The following is an 18,285-nucleotide window of genomic DNA, read 5'->3' as shown; positions in this document are numbered from 1 at the left end:
GTCCTTCTCAGCAGATAATCCTGTTTCCTAATATTTCCCAAATTTCCTTTGGTTGGAAGAATTCTCCCTATCTCTGAGGAAACTCCCCACCCCAGTGGAAGCCAGGGGACTCAGATTCTTCCCTTCCCTTATTCTGCTGCAGCCTGAAGTGAAGCTATGGCCTAAGCTTCAGCTAGAAATAGGATTCAGCATCTAGCCTGAAAAATGACAGCAGTAATATCAATCTAGATGATTTTTTGGGCAGAGAGGCTGAGATAAAATGAGATCAAGTGTTCAAAAGAAGTATTAGGTGTCCAACAAATGGTAGATCCTTTTGAGGTTGATTGTTTGAGAAGAGTGTACAAATTACTATGAGATTACTGCAGGAAGAAAGTAACTCCATTGAAGGAAAATGGTAGTGACTACAAAGGCAGTATAGTAAAATTTGTGTGTTTGGAACAAGGAAGGATGGATATGTCTGGCTACAGGGTCTATTTCAGGTCACCATGTAAACAGGAGCCTTGTTTACTGATAATACTACAATGGTTGCTGTGAATCATGTTTGTTATGAAGGGAACAGGAAAAAAACTCAAACTACCTGAGACTCTCCTGAGATATATCTCCCCACTCTTGACCACTATCCCAGGTATAATTCTTTTCTAAGCAGCTCAGAGATGTCATTTGTTTCTTTTCACAAGGCACAAAGAAGATGTCAGTGTTCAGCATCTTTCATCTTGCTGATTTATCTAGATCTTGAGACACTCAATCTCAAAACAATTAAAAGCATAGTAGTCTATGGCTATACACAGGCTGGTGTCTTTCTGCTCATGCTCCTTACATATTAGTAATGTCTGGTACCATGATATTACACACCAGTAATGAGTCACCCCTCATAATGTTACAATTTTTTATGTTTAAGTAGTATATATTTGCTTTAGATAATGAAACACCCCACAGAATAGAAAGATCAAGGGATGTTAGGAGTCAAATAAAGCTACATAGAACAGGATTGGTCTCTGGATCTCAAGGTAAAGCTAATTAAATTGGGTTGAGGCTTGTCATTTGGAAATGATAGTAAGTTTTCTTTCCTGGCTATGAAAAAAATAAGAGAGTTAGTTGGGTTGCCATTTCCAGAAGCAAAGCAATCTTTATCTGCTTTTTTTTTTTTTCTTTTCCCCCCTTTCTCTGTTATTTTAATCTTCTCTCATTATGTAGCCTGGCTTCTTCTGCTTCATTAACTCATGTTTCATCATAGCTACCTTTAAGTGTAACAATCAACTCCTAAGTATATATTAGTAATCACTGGTGAGACAGAAATGAGTTCATAAAACCCAAATACAAATTTTGGGGGATATGGAAGACAGCTAACGAAGGGTATGCTCTCCTTTTATATATTTTAATATATTTAATAAAACCCTAATAATTAAGAATATTATAATGATGTACAAATATATGGATCCATAGAACAGAATAGAAATAGAACCAAATAAATGTGAAATATTTCATTATGTATCTTTTCATTCATTTATAAGAATATGACATTATTAATAAATAAATACGATTTAATACTGACAAATATGCTGCTAATAATATTACTAATTAAATGATCTTGGGAATCTGTGTAATCATCTAGGAAAAAAGAAGTCTGGATTCATTTCAAGATTTAAGGAAAAAATACTGAAATAATTACATTCCTAAAATTTTTAGATAGAAATATTAGTGAATAAATTTGGAGTGAGAAGGAACTTTTTTTTTTTTTTTTGAGATGGAGTCTCACTCTTTTGCCAGGCTGGAGTGCAGAGGCATGATCTTGGCTCACTGCAACCTCTGACTCCCTGGCTCAAGCAATTCTCCTGCCTCAACCTCCCAAAGAACTAGGATTACATGCATGTGCCACCATGCCCAGGTAATTTTTGTATATTTAGTAAAGACGGGGTTTCACCATGTTGGCCAGGATGGTCTCAATCTCCTAACCTCATGATCTGCCCACCTCAGCCTCCCAAAGTGCTGGGATTGCAGGTGTGAGCCACCACTCCCGGTGGAACTTTTTAAAGGTAGTAAACAAAACCCAATAGCCACAATGGTAAAAAATGAATTATTCTAATAAAAGAATAAAAGAAAGAAAGAAAGAAGGAAGGAAAAACAAAGAAATGAAGAGAGGAAAGAAAGAAGGAGGGAGGGAGAAAAGAGGAATGCATGGAAAAAAAGAAAGGAAAAAGAAGTTTCCTGTTGTGCCTGAACTATCATAATCAAAGACAAAATGCAAAGATCAAAAGAAAAAAACTACTTCAATCTCATGTCATAATCAAAGGCCTCATTTCCCTTAAATAAAAATAGCTCCTACAAATCAATAAGAAAATCACCAATAACTGAATTACACACTGGGGAGGAATATTAAAGAGACTTCACAGGAAAGAAAAAATAAAAAACTTTTAAAATATAAAAAGATGTTTTCATGTCACTCATCATAAAAAGAATTAAATTTAAAAATGAATGAGTTAGTATTCTTCACTTCTAAGATTAAACAAAGACAAATATAGTTTCATAAAACAAACCGTCATGTCAAAGAGGCTTTGGAAAACAGAGGATTTAAGATTTTAAATTGGTACCATTCTAGTAGTATGACAATGAGGAGAACCCAAAGGTCTATAAAGGTACATATATTTCACCCACATTTTCCACTTTAGAAATTTATTCTATATACTACTTAAAGTAGCATAATTTAAACAGCAAATAAACCAAATGCAAATTCACAGATGGGTTGTTACATCGTTTTCTGAGTCCCTTTGGATTGCTGTAACAAAATACCATAAACTGGGTCGTTTATAAATAACAGAAATCTATTTATTATGATCCTAAAGGCTGGGAAGTCCAAGATCAAAGTGCTGGCAGGTAAAAGGCCCTTGTACTTATACTGCGTCTTCTTGCTGTGTCCTCACATGGTGGAAGAAGCAAGGCAGCTCTTGAGCCTCTTTAAGGTCATTAATCCCATTCATGAGGACTTCACTCTGATGATCTAATCTACCTCCTAATGTCATCACATTGGTAATTATGTTTCAACATATGAATTTTTGGTGGGAACATTAACATTCAGACCATAGCAGTCATATTATGCTATATGCAATGAATGGAATTGTATACAATTATAAAAAGAATTAGAATGTTCTGTATGAACTGAAATAAAATGATCTTGAAGATCATTTTAGATGAAAAAGCTAGATCATTGCTAGATGAAAAAGCGAGATGTGGAACAGTGTGTATTACGAGCTGTTATTTATATAAAAAGAGATAAGGGGATTTTTTGTTCATTTTACTTATACGTTTATACAGTAGCTTTACAAAGATTTACAAGGAATTAACGGCATTGATTGCCTATCACAGAAGAACTGGGTAAATGGGGGATAAGGGTAGAATACATTTTATTGTAAACCTCTTTATGCTGTTTGATACTGAACCATGTGAATGTATTACTATCCTAAAAATTAAATTCAATTAAAATAGGTTTTTAAAATAAAATAAAATATACTGTTACTGTATTAATTATCCATAATTCTTAGCAAAGTCATAGACATTGGGTGAATACTAAATAAATTTTAAAGTAGGTGTACTAAAACCACATTTAAAATGGGAGCTAGTAAAACATGTTACCTTAAACAAGTCTCTCTTTCACTCATTCAATCAAAATTACCTGAGTGCCTGATGTAATGGAAGCATGAAAGGCACTTGAGATGTAGTGGTAACCAAATCCAGCATATTTGTCCTCAACAAGCTGGTGATTAAGTTCCATAATTAGATACACAAGAAACAAACAAACAAACAAAAGCTAAGAAAAACATTTAAGACATAGTCTGAGGATTGTATTTGGAACTATAGCAATAGATATTTAAGGAACAATTCCATTCTACAAAAGTATTCTATGGTAGGTCATGCTATTATCTCTCAATTTAGTTCTTCTTATATCTTACAATAAGTCTTGATGATGTTCTTCATCTAGGGTTTCCTTTTCTAATCTTATTTACATAGTTCAAAAATGAGGATACTAATAGCTACTTTATCTTGTAAGAGTTAAATGACAGAACTTTTGTGCATGTACCTGGCAAGGTTTCTTGTATGAACTAGAATAGGTTGTTAATAAATGTTACTTGTAGCTGAATTGGCTTACACTATAGGGATGTGTTTTTGATTTACAAATTCCCTGTTGCTCACTCTTAATTAAGGAACACCACTTACAGATTATCCACAAAGCACTCCTATTGGATCTGGAATGTGTTCCTGGACAACTAAAGTGGGTTATGCCCAATATTTAAAAATGTCCTGCATGTATAATCACAGAGCTTTTCTGTGAAGACAAGAAATCAGGAAAAACTGAAAATTTGATAACCTTCTCATGGTTTAAAGCACAGTGGGAATCTAATGTTTATCTGCCAGATCAATTCCACCTTAATTCTCAAACAAAACTTCCCTAAGGGATTGACTTTTCAAGATTCCCAAGAAAATGGAGACAGTGGAGACACCAACCAGTATAATTGACCACTGACAGCTTATTCATAAGGAGAGACTAAAAATAGTTAGGGGAGCCAGGAATTCAGAAGATCCAGTGCTGGTTCTAAAAAATTTATCCACATATCAAACAAATCATCAAAAATTCATTTTAATTGTTCACAGTTTTGTCAAGTGCGTATCATGTACAAGAATTAGGTTATATACGGTGGACTGCTTTGCTTAATGCAATGATTTTACCCCAAACTGTACTAATTATGCATCCATCTTTTGACATATTTCAAGTTACATTTTTAATTATACCTCTTGTCATGACACTTAATGAAGATATTAATTTCAATAAATGATGGAGAATGTTTTGCTCTTGACCCCTCATGAAAAAATAAAGTAAAATAAATATTAAAAAGTTTCCTATTGCAAGAAAATTTGGTTGGCCCATATCAAAAGGCCCTTTGATGGCTAAAATGTGGACTCAGCAGATTTGATTTCAAATTCTTACAAATTGATTATTTTTGTAGGTGAATTAATTTATCTGAATGTCTGTTGCCTCAACCATAAAATTACTATAACTCAGAAATAATAAATAAGGATGTGTAGACAGAGGCCTAGCATGAAATTTGGCACTCAGTTAAGTCCTCATTCCATGAAAAACTCTGTTGGAACTTGAAATATGGGCCTAAGGGGACCTAAGGAGATGTTTCTCTTAAGAGAAAATTCAGAACCCTGTGTCTCTGACTACTGTCAACAATGTAGTCAGTTTTTCTGCTTCTCTCTGTTTGTGTTCTTAATCCACATTATGAGATATTATTTATAATTCATGTGTCCAATTTTTTAAAACTATATTAAAAACTGAAACGCTGGTAGTACCAAATTAGAAATAAAGATGATAATAGCTCAAACCATTCCATTTCATGTCAGTCACACATTGGTGAAATTGCTCTATCATATTCTATGAAAATAGCTGTCTCAGGAAAAGGAGGATCATGGGCGTGTTACTTGGTACAGCACTGTGTTGGTTGTCTCCTAACATCAGTGTCATGTAAAACACCATCAAAAGAAATAGGTAATTCTGCTATTTATCTTCAAAATGTAGCTCTTGGGCATAGAATGTAAATAAATAGATTCATTTAGGAAAGTCTAGTTAACAGAGTTGAAAATGATTATGGTTTTCCTCTGAATTTTGCAGAAAGTGGTTGTGTCTGTCTAGTGACACATGTGATGTTATTAGATGTGATTGAAATTTATCCAAAGTGGACTATGAGAAAGAAGCACAGAAAGCTATGGATGGCAGAATGAAAGTAATCTCCAATGTGCTGGACCCTTTTGATTGAGGGCTAATTGGGTTTTGTGGTTATTGTTTCTTTGCTTTTAATCTTCGGGTAGTCTTGGCCCCATTTTCCATCTTTTTTTTTTTTTTTCAGTGCTTCCTTCTACTCACTCAAAAGTGAACCCTTTGGAAACTTCTAGTTAAAAAGGCCATTGGAATACTCACAAAAGACTGTCCCCACATATGCTTTCCATGAAAAAAAATTATGAATATGGGATGTGGAGGGGGAGCTACATCAATGGATAAATCTCAGAAGGAGGCACCATCCTCACATATAAGTGACAGGCCAAATACAGTAAAGGTAGAAATACACTACAAAAACTTGTATATAAAATTAAACTGTATGGAGAGTTGAGCAGAATCAGGCTCCAAACACCTTATAGGAGTGATAAGAACCCTACTAAGATTGCTCACATGGAGAGGATGAGGGCAAAGGTAGCAGAGGGTAGGGCGAGTGGTGAAACTTAGGCATTTGTCCTGGGCTTTACACCTTCTTGAGCAGGTAGCCATGGCCACGAGACACCTGTCTTACACCAACCTCAGCTGTAGGTGCCCTATAAGCAGAGACCAGAGACACTGCTAGGATTTTCTCTCTGGGGAGTCATGCTATGAGCAGAGTGGAGGTCTCAAAACAGCAAATTTCTGCTTAGGAAATGAACACAGAGCACCACCTCAGGGCATGTCTCAGCAAGGTGGCTTGCAGCAAAGCCTTCCCTACTCCGACTGCAACTGAAGTTGCAACTGTCAAGACAAAACTAAATAAAACCCTCCTCTCTCCAAGCCCTCAAGTTTTACACAGGAACCCATATTGCAATTTGTTAGAAGACACCACAAATCCTAATACAGCAGAACAGTATGAAAAGTTGCATCAAAAATAATGATGCTCAAAGGAAGAGAAGCAATGTGAGGAATCATAATTATAACTCTATGGGAAAGCGATTCTCTCAATGTTTGTAACTGCTTCTTCATGTTCTATTTTTTTAGACTGTATACCCAATGGGTTTAAAATTTCAGTGCTTCCATTGACTAAGTGTGTATCCTTGGGCAAATTATTTTATTTATTTTATTATTTATTTATGTATTTATTTATTTACTTTATTTTTCTCAGTTTCCACACATTAAAGTGGGAATTGATTTAATCTACCTTACAACACTGTGTGAGGATTATTTGTTAAAACTTAGAACAGTCCCTGGCAGTAATCATCAAAAAAGCATTTGTCATTATTGTCATTCTTTTAATATTTATTAAATTTAAAATAATAATTAAAAATAAATAATATAATAATATATACAATATAAATGTGTTGCAGAAAATTGGGAGATACACAAAAGATATTGAAAAAATTGTGCAATCCTACCATATTTTGCAATACAGTGCCTTCAAGTTTTTTTTAAGCCTATGTAGTTAAGTATATACATGTTTATGTTACAAATTTGGGTGAGTGTATAGTTTTGCCTCATATTTTTTATTCCAGTGTAATTATTCATAGCTCTGCTTTTCACTTTCCAAATATCCTAGTTTAGATGATAAGTTATATGGTCACCCTAGTCATAACATACATGTTGTTTTGAATCCTATATTGTATTTAATATCATATATTGGTTGTTTTTCAAGCATATTATTCTAAAATGCATATGTAATCAAGTTCAAATCAATATATGGTTGAATCATATTTAACCAATTATATATTTTTAAATTGAGGAAATAATCTTACCAAATGTAAACTACAATTCTCTTAAAACTAAATACTCTCATGGTGTTACCCCTATCTGCAGAGTAGAAAGTCCACAGACAACACCAAATATGTGTAATTATATATTATATAATTAATTTATATTTATAAATCATCAAGAAATGTCAGACTATTGAATAAATTCTGTTGGAAAAATTAAATGTGTTTTTAAACATATTACTCTTAATATAAAACTACACACTAACATAAATTTCAGATAGAAATATAATAAAATTGAATAGCTTAATTACTGTTAATTCATTTCATTCTTAGGCTAAGGATAGCATTAGCCCATATGAACTACTTTTTAAAAAATACCTAATAGATTTGACTCCATAAAAGGCAAAACTTTTGTATGCTTCAAAAAATATCATAAATAATAAATCAAAGAGCAATCTGGAAAAATTATATGATAGTGAATAGTTTGTTATCCTCAAAATAGCAAACTCTTTTAAATAAGATTGAAATATTATAGTATTTCAAAGTGAGCAAAGAAAAATAATTAAAAATTCATAAAGGTACAAATGAAACTGACCAATAAACAAGTGAAAAAAGGATTCAATATTGCTGGCAATCAAGGTACAATATAAAATATTAGTGGTATATAATTTTCCCTGTACAAGTAGCAATTAATACTATCCAGTGTTGGTAAAGAAAAAAGTAAAATCAATTTTACTTTTCACTCACGGAAATGTAAACAGATATAATCTTTCTGGAGGAAAAGTTATCAAAATATATCAAAATCTAGGAATTTATCCTCAAGAAATCATTTGGACATCAAGGTACAGAGACTTACGCATAATGGTTGTTAATCACTGTAAGCAGGCAAAATTGGAAACCCACTAAACAGCCCTTCATAGATGACTGGTAAAATAATTTACGTTAAATTCTTATAATATTATAAGGAATATTTATAAAAGAATATAAAAGAATAGTTTAAAAGAATATAAAATTAAGAAAATTCTGTGGGAAAAAGCTCACAATATATTGAGTGGGAAGTAGAAGTTACAAAATACAGGTAGTATAATCCTGATGGTGTTCCTTTTTTTGTTGTTGTTATTAATTGAGAAAAGGTCTCACTACATCACCCAGGCTGGAGTGCAGTGGCGCAATCACAACTCACAGCAGCCTCGAGCTCCTGAGCTCAAGCGATCCTCCAGCTTCAGCCTCCCAAGTAGCTGGGACTACAGGTGCATACCGCCATGCCTGGCTATTTTATTTTATTTTTTTGTCTAGAAACAAGGTCTTCCTATGCTGCCCAGGCTGATATTCAACTCCTGGGCTCAAGGAGTACTTACACCATGGCTTCCCAAAGTGCTGAGATTACAAGCGTGAGCATCCAGCCAATCCTAATTTTGTAAGGCAAATGAGTATATTGTGTAATAAGGTATGAATATTTAATTTCTGGTACCTCAGATTTGATTAAGATGTCAATATAATGAATAATAGATAATGAAGTGTGAGACAAAACACCACACGCAGAATTTATAAAGGAAATAATTAGATAATCTAGAACCATTCCATAACACTTGATCTCCCTCTCTGACTTTGAAACTATAAAAAGGACAGAGGAGAGATGACAGAGAGGAAGTGTCATCTTTGATCCTGACAGTCTGGTGACAGAGGCTCCTGAATGCCCAGCTCTCCCAGGGCACAATGATACAATATAGTGAGCATGTCCTGTGGAATAGCTGTGGACCACACAGGAGAACCGAGAACCAGTTGGGAACTGTCTTCAGACCTGCTGAACAGGCCCCCTGGGAGGACAGAAGAACAATCCTCTTCCCGGGTAGAGTGGGTAGAGTGGCCCCCAGTGAGCCGGGGCCAACAGGGAAGCTGTAGTTAGCAAGCTGGGCAGACAGACCCAAACACTCTAGCTGAGAGAGGCAAGGGCAGGTGGGCTTCCCTCTGGCCCTGTGAGGCCTGCTTTCAACATAATGGTTAAAACCAAATACAAGTCTGGCACAGTGGCTCAAGCCTGTAATCCCAGCACTTTGGGAGACTGAGATGGGAGGATCTCCTGAGGCCAGGAGTTCAAGACCAGCCTGGGCAACATAGCAAGACCCTGTCCTTATAAACATTTTTTTAAAAAGTAGTTGAGTGTGGTGGCAGGCATTTGTAGTCCCAGCTACTTGGGAGGCTGAGGCAAGCTCACTTGAGCCCAGAAAGTTGAGGCTGCAGTGAGCCAAGATCATGCCATTGCACTCCAGCCTGGGTGACAGAGCAAGACCCTGCCTCTAAAAACCAAACAAACAAATAAAAATGAATACATATGTATGCCACAGAAAAAGTAGAAAATATGTGGAGTAGTATGCACGAATTGATTATCAGTGGTTATCTCTGAATCAGGTACCCATAGGAAATTTTTCCTTTCTTGTAAATAAAATTATTTTCCTAGTATCTAGAAATCATGTGTTTGCATACATGATTGGTAAAAGATTGGTGTCTATATAATTTAAAAGGAAAGACTTGAAGATATTAGCAATCAAATATATAAAAATATACAACCTGACAGAATTAATGGGTTTTGTGAGATTCATGGTGACATGGTCAAAATCAGATAATTCTCTGTTTCTCCTTCTCATGGCAAGCCAGAAAAACGGTAATAAGAGTGACAGATTTTACATATAAATCCATTCTGCTAACAATGTTTTTATGGCTCCTGGAAGGCAGAGTAGCTTAGCAGACTTAAGTATTCCCAGCAGATGCCAGTCTGGAAGATACATTCTTTCATCTGTATGGATTAATAGACCAGGGGAAAGTGATAATTAGTTTCTGCTTTGTGTCCTCAAGAATCTGTTTTTCCTCTATCTAATTTATTCATGGAAATGTCCTTCCCAGGACCAAGTTGCAACCCTCCACAGAAGGCCCTTCACACTCTAGCATAAATGATACCAGTGAAGTCGGGCAGTGTGCAGCTTGTACAACAGTTCACAGATACACATCCTGTGTGAATAGCTCACTGCAATCTTCTCTCCTAGAGAAATCCTTTCCTAACACCAGATCTCTCCTTCCACTTTATGTGAACTTTTATTGCCCCTCCATTTTTATATTTCCTTAGCAATCATGTCTTTCGTGTGTCCTCATTTGTACTTCTTCATGCATTTTTACTTCCTCAGTACAACTGGAGATATTCGAGGCCAGGTAATAGGCTGCATGCTTTTTAATCCTTAGTAGCACCTGTCTCAGTGCCTTGTACACTGTGTACTAATCAAGGTGACAGTTGAAACAACAAAAATAATAATGATGATAATAGATAATATTTATTGAGCTCTCACAATGTCCCAAGCATGACATGCTCTGAATGGAGTATTTTATTTCATCCTAGCAACAGCTATATATGTTACAGATTAGAATATCTTAATTTATAAAGAAGAAAGCCAGGGTTTATTAATGTTATGCAACTTGTCCAATGTCAAACTATTAATAAGATTTTGAATGAGTGAAGGAAGAAAACATTTCAATATCTTGCAGACATTACGTCCTTTGTAGTCTGTAATTCAATGTCAATAAACACAGTTAACTACACTGAGTTTACTGATGGTAGATGCTATGGTCTGAAAGTTTGTGTCCCACCGAAATTCTTATGTGGAAACCTAATCCTTAATGTGGTGCTAGTAAGAGGCAGTGCCTTTGGGAGGTGATAGATCGGGAAGAAGAAATCCTCATGAATAGGATTCAAGCCCTTCCAAAAGAGGCGCAGAGAGTTGTGTCATGCCTTCCAATGTAAGGAAACAGAGAATGCACCCTCTATCAGAAAATTGCCCACAGCAGACACTGAACCTGCCAGCACCTTGATCTTGACTTCCTAGCATTCACAATAGTGAGAAATAAATTTCTGTTGTTTATAAGCCACCCAGTTAATGGTATTTTTTCATAGCATCCCAAATGGATTAAGACAATAGGATCTGTGATTATTATTATTTGGATCCAAAGCATGGTATATGTTACATATGCTTAATTATCTGGGGAAATGAATGAATGAGTGAAGAAATCCACTAGTTTGGTGGTGCACTGAACTCCCCTTCTGAATGGCTTGCAAGACAGCCTGCTCTGCTGAGGGCCATCACTTTCTTTAAGCTGGATGCCCATGGAATTGTTCTACAGATAAAGAAACCAAGGTCCAAATAAACTGTGCTTTGCCAAAGGCCACACCACAAAGATCAGGTGGTCACAGAATTAGAACAAAACCCTTTGACTTCCAATTCAGAGCACCTTTTGTTTCACCCTTTCACCTAATTGTTGACACACAGAACACATGTTCCTATATATTAAATACAATTGAGAAAGGCAAGAATACAGAACATGGGTCTTTTGGGGGAAAACTTTCTGTTAATAATCTTCAGGAAAATCTCCTTGTGTCTGCTTAGCAAATGCCTACCCAGGCTCCTGGCCCTACATTGGCATTCCCAGGCTGTTCTCAATTTTTTTTTCCTTCACTGTGACACATATGGCAAAGGGGCACCACTTGGCTCTGAGCCTGATGGTCTAGGCACTGGGAATGACAATCCCTGGGAACATGAGGAAGGAGACCAAGCTTGGGCATGATTTGGTTGTCTCTGCAGGCCATTTGGAAGTGGGGCTGTGTTTATAAATTTATTTTCCTACCTGATGCCCTCTCTGGTGCTAGAACACACTCTACCGAAGATTGTTTTTTTCTTTTCTTTAGGGACTTGTGAAGTGGTTCTTCCTGGAAAGCTGAGGCACACAAACCCAGTGGGCTGATGGGAAGTCTAAATCCATATCATATTTTTCACCAGTCTTCCTCTGAATCACATCCAGACCAGGCTCCTAGCATCTTTCCAGGTGCTTTGAGAACAGAGCCTGTTTCTAAGATGCAAAGAAACAAAGTGCGAATCGAAGTCAGCACGTATGAATACATGATGGAAGTGATGCTCCTACCTTCCACGGAGGGGCTAGACGACTCCAAGTGTTTAAGCTGTATACACTGCTTGCCAGAGCTTGAGCCTGCAGACTCAAGCCTGCCATCACAGCCAGGAATATGCTAAGTACTGGATTCTGACAGGGAGAGAAAGGCACAGGGTGGGGTAGAAACGGCTGTCTCCAGCTGTGTGTGAGGAGGCGTGCCCTTGCTTCCAATGGGCATCTTCTCTACCCCACTGCATTCTTTGATTCTGTTCTGAGTCTGTTCTCTGCAGCATCCCCCATGCTTCCATTGGCTGGTGATTATGTCAGGATCTTGATGGGAACTCAGCCTGGCATGTGCTCATGAGAGGGGAGATGGAGAAAAACCTTCGCTGGCTCACAGTTCTGACTGACACATAGTTCAGCTCCATCTAACTGTGCTTCAAGGCTGAGGATGGTAACTACCCTGGGTGGGAATGGGTAGTAAGGAAGGAAAACCAGGGCAGGAGTCTACAAGTCAGCTTCCGGGAAGCTTACTGCTGCTATCCCTCAGTGCGCTGGCAGCATAGGAGGCAGGAGGCAGAAATATGCCCTTCAAGAATGCCACAGTAGCTGATGCCGGCTCCTCCACAGAAGGTCACTTCCTCTTGACTCTGACCAAAGTCTGAGTCACTCACTACATTCTTTCTGAACTCCTGCTTGCTATTCAGCCTCATGATCTGAATGCGACTTGTGGTACATTGAATCCATAGGAGGGTTTGATTAATCTGACAGATTGGTGCATTAGATATATTTACAAAAACTGTCACTGACACACTTTATAAGATTGATCCTCATAGGTAAATATGTTCCTGAATGGAGTTAGCTATAGGTTCTTGGGATTTAAAAGAGAGCAGAGGGGATGAGTTTTTGAAACAGTCTGAGGACCCAGCTCTGAACCACTGCTAAGACACTCAAGCCAGTAAGGCTCTCACAGTGACATCCTTGCACCATTTTCCTAAATATAGGTCATTTAAGATTTTATTTTTAAAATTTAATGTAAAAGATACACATTTCTGACTAACTTTGCATTGCCTGGGAGAGAATAAAAGAGCAGCGGTTTCTCACCCCCTGCTAATAGGGATTTCACTCAGCAAAAGTATGCACTGGACAGACGAGAGAGAGGGAGGAAGGAAGGAAGATGGAATGGAGAGAAGAGAGGAGACAGAAGAGAAAAAATGGAGGGAGGGAGTTGAGTGGAAGCTTATTTCCTGAGCATACAGTCATTCTGAAGATATCATGAGCAGCAAATTAAACAATCCTTCAGCAAGAATTTTGACAAGGAAATTTCATTAGGGATTTAAATCTCTATGGAAGCTCAAGTTGCTGCATTAAGATATGAAAATTGTGCAAATATTGTTCCTTAGAATAATGTTTGCCGCAGGTCATTGAGTTTCAGTCAGTGGAATTTAGAGTGATAAATGTCCTGTTGAAAATAACTAGAGAAGGGAGGGTTCTAGGGGAGGGAGGAAAGCGCCCTTCAGTTGGGAGCTCAGGTCCTGGAGTCATTTGGAATGGAAGTTAAACTCTAGCATTAACTAGCTGTATGACCTTGAGCAAGTTTACTTAGCTTCCCTGAGGTCTAATTTTCTCATCTATAAAATGTGGGCAATTGTCAGCAGTCTCCTTACTAAACTGTGATTGTGAGGGTTTAATAAAATAATCCATGTAAAGCCTTTGGCACAGTGCCTGGCACATGTATCATTTAAACGCGTATTAGTAACAATTATAGTGAGGAATAAGGGAAGTGGGCTGACATTATCTGGCATTGACTCTGTCCATCTATATGATAACAATAATGCTTATAGGTATTACTGTTGCCATTGCTCAAGTGAAAGCCTGAGGCCTGGAAGCCGAATCAAATCTGCTAACGTCGGAAAAGGGTAAATGTTACACCAAATTCATCCCCATGTTTATATATCCACATGTTTTTCCCCCTCACTAATCTGCGGGATCCTCAGGGCCTAAATCCTGTTTGCACACTTTTGTATTAACAGAGCCTGACCAATTAGGTGGCTCTTGGTGGATGCTGAGAAAATACTGATGAAATGAATTAATGATTACCTAAAGAAATGCACGTGTGCATGGATGAATGCAAGACATAATGCTTTTCCATTTAAGCTGTGTCTCAAGGACTCATCCATGGGCTCTCCATGCTTATTCTTTCTTTTTAAATTTCAAGGATTCTGGCATTTTGACTCACATAATGATATACCACTTTACAGAAAACTGGAGAAATAGAAAAACAATTTCATAAAATTCCACGTCCTTACAACATTTTAGTGTATTTCTTTTCTACATTTGGGGCAAAGTATGTTCCTTTTGCAATTTTATATAAAAGTAATTTTTTATCTTGCAGTTTCACTTAATAGAAACATTTCAGAGAGGTATAATTTTTTTTTTTTTTTTTTTTTTTTTTGAGACAGAGTCTTGCTCTGTCACCCAGGCTGGAGTACAGTGGCGTGATCTTGGCTCACTTCAACTTTGCCTCCTGGATTCAAGTGATTCTCCTCTCTCAGCCTCCAGAGGTAGCTGAGACTACAGGCACTTGCCACCATACCAGGCTAATTTTTGTATTTTTAGTAGAGACAGGGTTTCACCATGTTGGCCAGGCTGGTCTCAAACTCCTGACCTCAAGCATCTCTGCCTCCCAAAGTGCTGGGTTTATAGGCATGAACCACCGTGCCTGGCTCACACAGCTATAATTTTAATAGCAATTTAATAGACATTGAAATAGGTTTTCAGGGATAGTGACTGTAACCGTGGGACCATTTTGTTCTACGAGGAGAGAATAGTCATTATGGTGACCCCCTCCTCCACTCTTGCAGTGATGAACTATGGTATCTAAATGGCTGGTAACATTTGATTAGATTGTTTAAAGAGGTTTTTTTTACCCACTTTGTACCATATGCAAGACCTTGCCCTTTGTAACCTGTACTGAATAGCTATTCCACAGCCACATATGAAAAGAAAGCAAAACAGGAAAGAAGGGAGGGAGGGAGGAAGGAAGGAAGAAAGGAAAGAAAGAAGAAAGGAAGAGAGGAAGGGAGGAAGGGAGGAAAGGGGGAAAGGGAAAGAGGGAGGAAGGGAAAGAGGGAGGAAGGGAAGAAGTATTATATTAAAGGAGACAAAATAATGAAGGGAAATAAATAGGAAAAGAGAAGGGATAAAAACAGAAAAAAGAGAGAAAGAAAAAGAGAAAAACTAGATACATTAGGAAAAGTGAGGAAAAAAGAGAGAGAAAGAAAAAGAAAGAAATCAGCAAGCCCATTATTTTATGCAAGTTTCCTAACATGCCAAAGATATGTCTCACATCATAACCATGAATACCCTTTCAGAGGCCACCTGAGCAAGTGGTCCAAATCACTTGATAAATAAGATACCAAAAACTCCAGTAATACCATCCTCTTTGGGTAATTCCCAGAGAACTGTGTCTCACATTTCAGGAAATAGAGATATCCCTGTGGCAACCTTCACTTTTCTCAAGGAAAGCTAAATTTGCAAAGAAAGAGTAGTTACTGTATGGTGAATTGCTTCGTCAAGATAAAATAGAATTAAATTAAATTAAACAAAACCTTTTTCTTTCAAATAACTTTGCATTTACTTGAGTAAATGTAGCTAGAAATTCAGGGGGAAATGAAAATATGCATTTTGAAAAGATGTTGGAAGATGCCTAGACACGTTCATTATGCAGCAAAACGCACAGACACAGGCAGGGCGACCTCTGTCCTTAGTCAGTACAAAATATTTACTGAAGTCTGTGTTACGTATGTATGATATTCAGAAAACCATAACTTGGCCTTTCCAATTGCAAAATGCCTATCATTATCCTCACTAAACTAAATCGCTGATTCAATGAAAATCCCCATTTTTTAGTCATGATTCAATTCTAGCAGCTATTGAAAGAACAGAGAATTCTTTAAAGATAAACATTTCACATTTGACTAGAATTGGGCATTTAAGCATAAAAGGTTACTTTTACTACCATACAAACAAACTAATGACTAGCCATATTTTTTAGTCTGCAAATTGTCTTCTTCCATGAATGGAGAAAAAATAATTTGTCCTTAGGACAGTAATCACTGATATGCAAATAGTGTTGCCAAAAATGGAGTTTTCAAAGTCTGCTTGAAAACTTCTTACATGATTTCGTACACGTTTTCTTACTTTAGTAAGGTATGGTTTAATACTATCATAAATTAACAACCAAAGCGTAAGAAGCGGTATAATACTGTAGTTTCCATAACATTATTTCAGGTAAATAATAAGCTCTGTTATTTTTCTAGATCCCTGCTTTTGAAATGAGGTGGTACGTGGCTGGGCAGAAGGAAAGCTAAGGAGGCCCGGGTTGTTGGGAGTTCCCAGCAGGGGTTCAAGGTGGAATCCGGAAGCCAGGCCTCATCGTCAGAGAAGACCTAGACTGAGCCAGCTCTGAGGATGCTTTGAACATCAACATCTGCCATCAGCTTCTGTCCTTGGCAGCTTTCAGAGACACAAGACTGAAATATAGCTTTCAGCTGAGTTAACAACCATTGCTCAGAATAAACGCTGCCTATATATTGCATTAGAGAGAAGAAAAATGCTTGACCTACTTGGATCCGATAAGATGGAATCAGTTTTCGGCAGAAATTGATCACAACGGACTCCTTGGTAGCCTTCTTTGCACCTGAGAAAAGGGGATAAATGACAAACATACGCATGTGGTTGTGAAAGACTTAAGATTTCAACAAGTAAAATAGCCATCAATTACATAAATGTGAGAACAGTACATTCATGCTTTCATATTTTTTGATTCAGTCTGTTTCTGACCTCAACAGGCAGATTCTCAATTCTATTTCTTTGCCAAAAAGGGAGAAAGCCAACAATGTAGCTTTGCTTTTATAGTTTGATATGCAATATCTAAGGAGCAAATTGAATCGCATTTTAAGATACCTCACAGCAATCTAAATAATGGTTCTTAAAATTATAATTCTGGATGCAGGTGTATTTTTCTTTATGCAACACACTGGTCTCTAAAAGGCATTTAGAAACATATTCCAAGTGCCATTTTCTTATAAAAGATATTTTGAAATATAATGGATCTATTATTGATTTTGGCTACCACTAATTTGGTTTCCATGTGTTTTATTAGCTTGTTCACTGTTAGTCCTACTTTTTTTTTTTTAACCTCTTAGTTATTCTTCCAAGTCAGTGTCACCTCACCACTTTGCCAGAAATAACAGCATTTTATCCGGCAAGGTCTGAAAGGCATCTCTAAACTCAGATTTTTTCTCTCTCTATTTTTCTCTTTTATATTCAGTAAACAAGTGCAAAGTGTCTACTTTCTGCCAGGCATTGTACAAGCCAACTGTCCTGAGGCGGGCACAATTTGGAGGCAAGGAATTTGCCTGGAAGCACCAAAAAGGAGGCATGCCCCCGCCGCCCTGCCAGGCCCCTGTCGGGTCTTCACATAGCTCGCTCAATCAGGGCTGCTTGGCCACCTCGGACAGCAGTGGCTCATCAGACAGTGATTCCAGGAACAAATACGGCGAGGCCCCAGACGCCTGGCTCTGAACAGCCTTGTTAAGTGGGGAGGTGGCATTTACTGGTCTGCTCGAAGCTTAATCTGTCATGCTCGAGTTCAGCAGGGAAGCATCCATTGTTGCTTAAAGGATGAATCTGTCCTACTTAAGAGGAGGAAATAGTGCTGCTGGCATTAAAAAAAATCAGATTTAAAAAACAATTCTCTGCTTGTTAGAAATCTATGAAATTGACAAAAGAATTCAAAGAGGCCGTTCTGTCAAGAGACAGGAACCATGCGTCGTGAGTTCTTTCCTTAAAATATGCTTTGTTTTCTGAGTG

At 37.3% G+C, this 18,285-nt stretch overlaps 1 protein-coding gene across 24 annotated transcripts in view, besides 2 other annotated features; it reads right to left on the bottom strand.

Annotated features, from left to right (window-relative positions):
• Positions 1-18,285, bottom strand: part of NRG3 (neuregulin 3) — a 1,111,986-nt gene that overhangs the window by 231,493 nt on the left and 862,208 nt on the right. For 23 of the 24 annotated variants that reach the window (NR_163251.1, XR_001747009.3, NR_163252.1 and 20 more), the window contains one exon: positions 17,037-17,110. Coding sequence is in view for 20 of the 24 variants with exons in the window: in XM_017015573.3 (XP_016871062.1) it covers positions 17,037-17,110 (74 nt within the window). In the remaining 4 variants the exon portion in view is untranslated. Of the gene's footprint in view, positions 1-9,801; positions 12,370-17,036; positions 17,111-18,285 lie in introns of those variants that run through there. The other variant, XM_017015584.3, reaches the window with a different exon arrangement.
• Positions 12,684-12,852: a silencer, noted in NCBI's record as "fragment chr10:84502591-84502759 (GRCh37/hg19 assembly coordinates)". NCBI's record gives its function as "represses an EF-1alpha promoter that drives an FKBP-Casp9 reporter gene in an ReSE screen in K562 erythroleukemia cells {active_cell/tissue: K562}" and the evidence as "EXISTENCE:reporter gene assay evidence [ECO:0000049][PMID:32094911]".
• Positions 12,900-13,194: an enhancer, noted in NCBI's record as "tiled region #14045; K562 Activating non-DNase unmatched - State 24:Quies". NCBI's record gives its function as "activates a minimal TATA promoter and a strong SV40 promoter by Sharpr-MPRA in K562 cells {active_cell/tissue: K562}" and the evidence as "EXISTENCE:reporter gene assay evidence [ECO:0000049][PMID:27701403]".

This window comes from Homo sapiens, chromosome 10 (genome assembly GCF_000001405.40).
Source record: "Homo sapiens chromosome 10, GRCh38.p14 Primary Assembly".
Lineage (NCBI taxonomy): Eukaryota > Metazoa > Chordata > Mammalia > Primates > Hominidae > Homo > Homo sapiens.
Note: the sequence above shows the minus strand (reverse complement) of the source record. Positions and strands in the feature narration are given on the sequence as shown.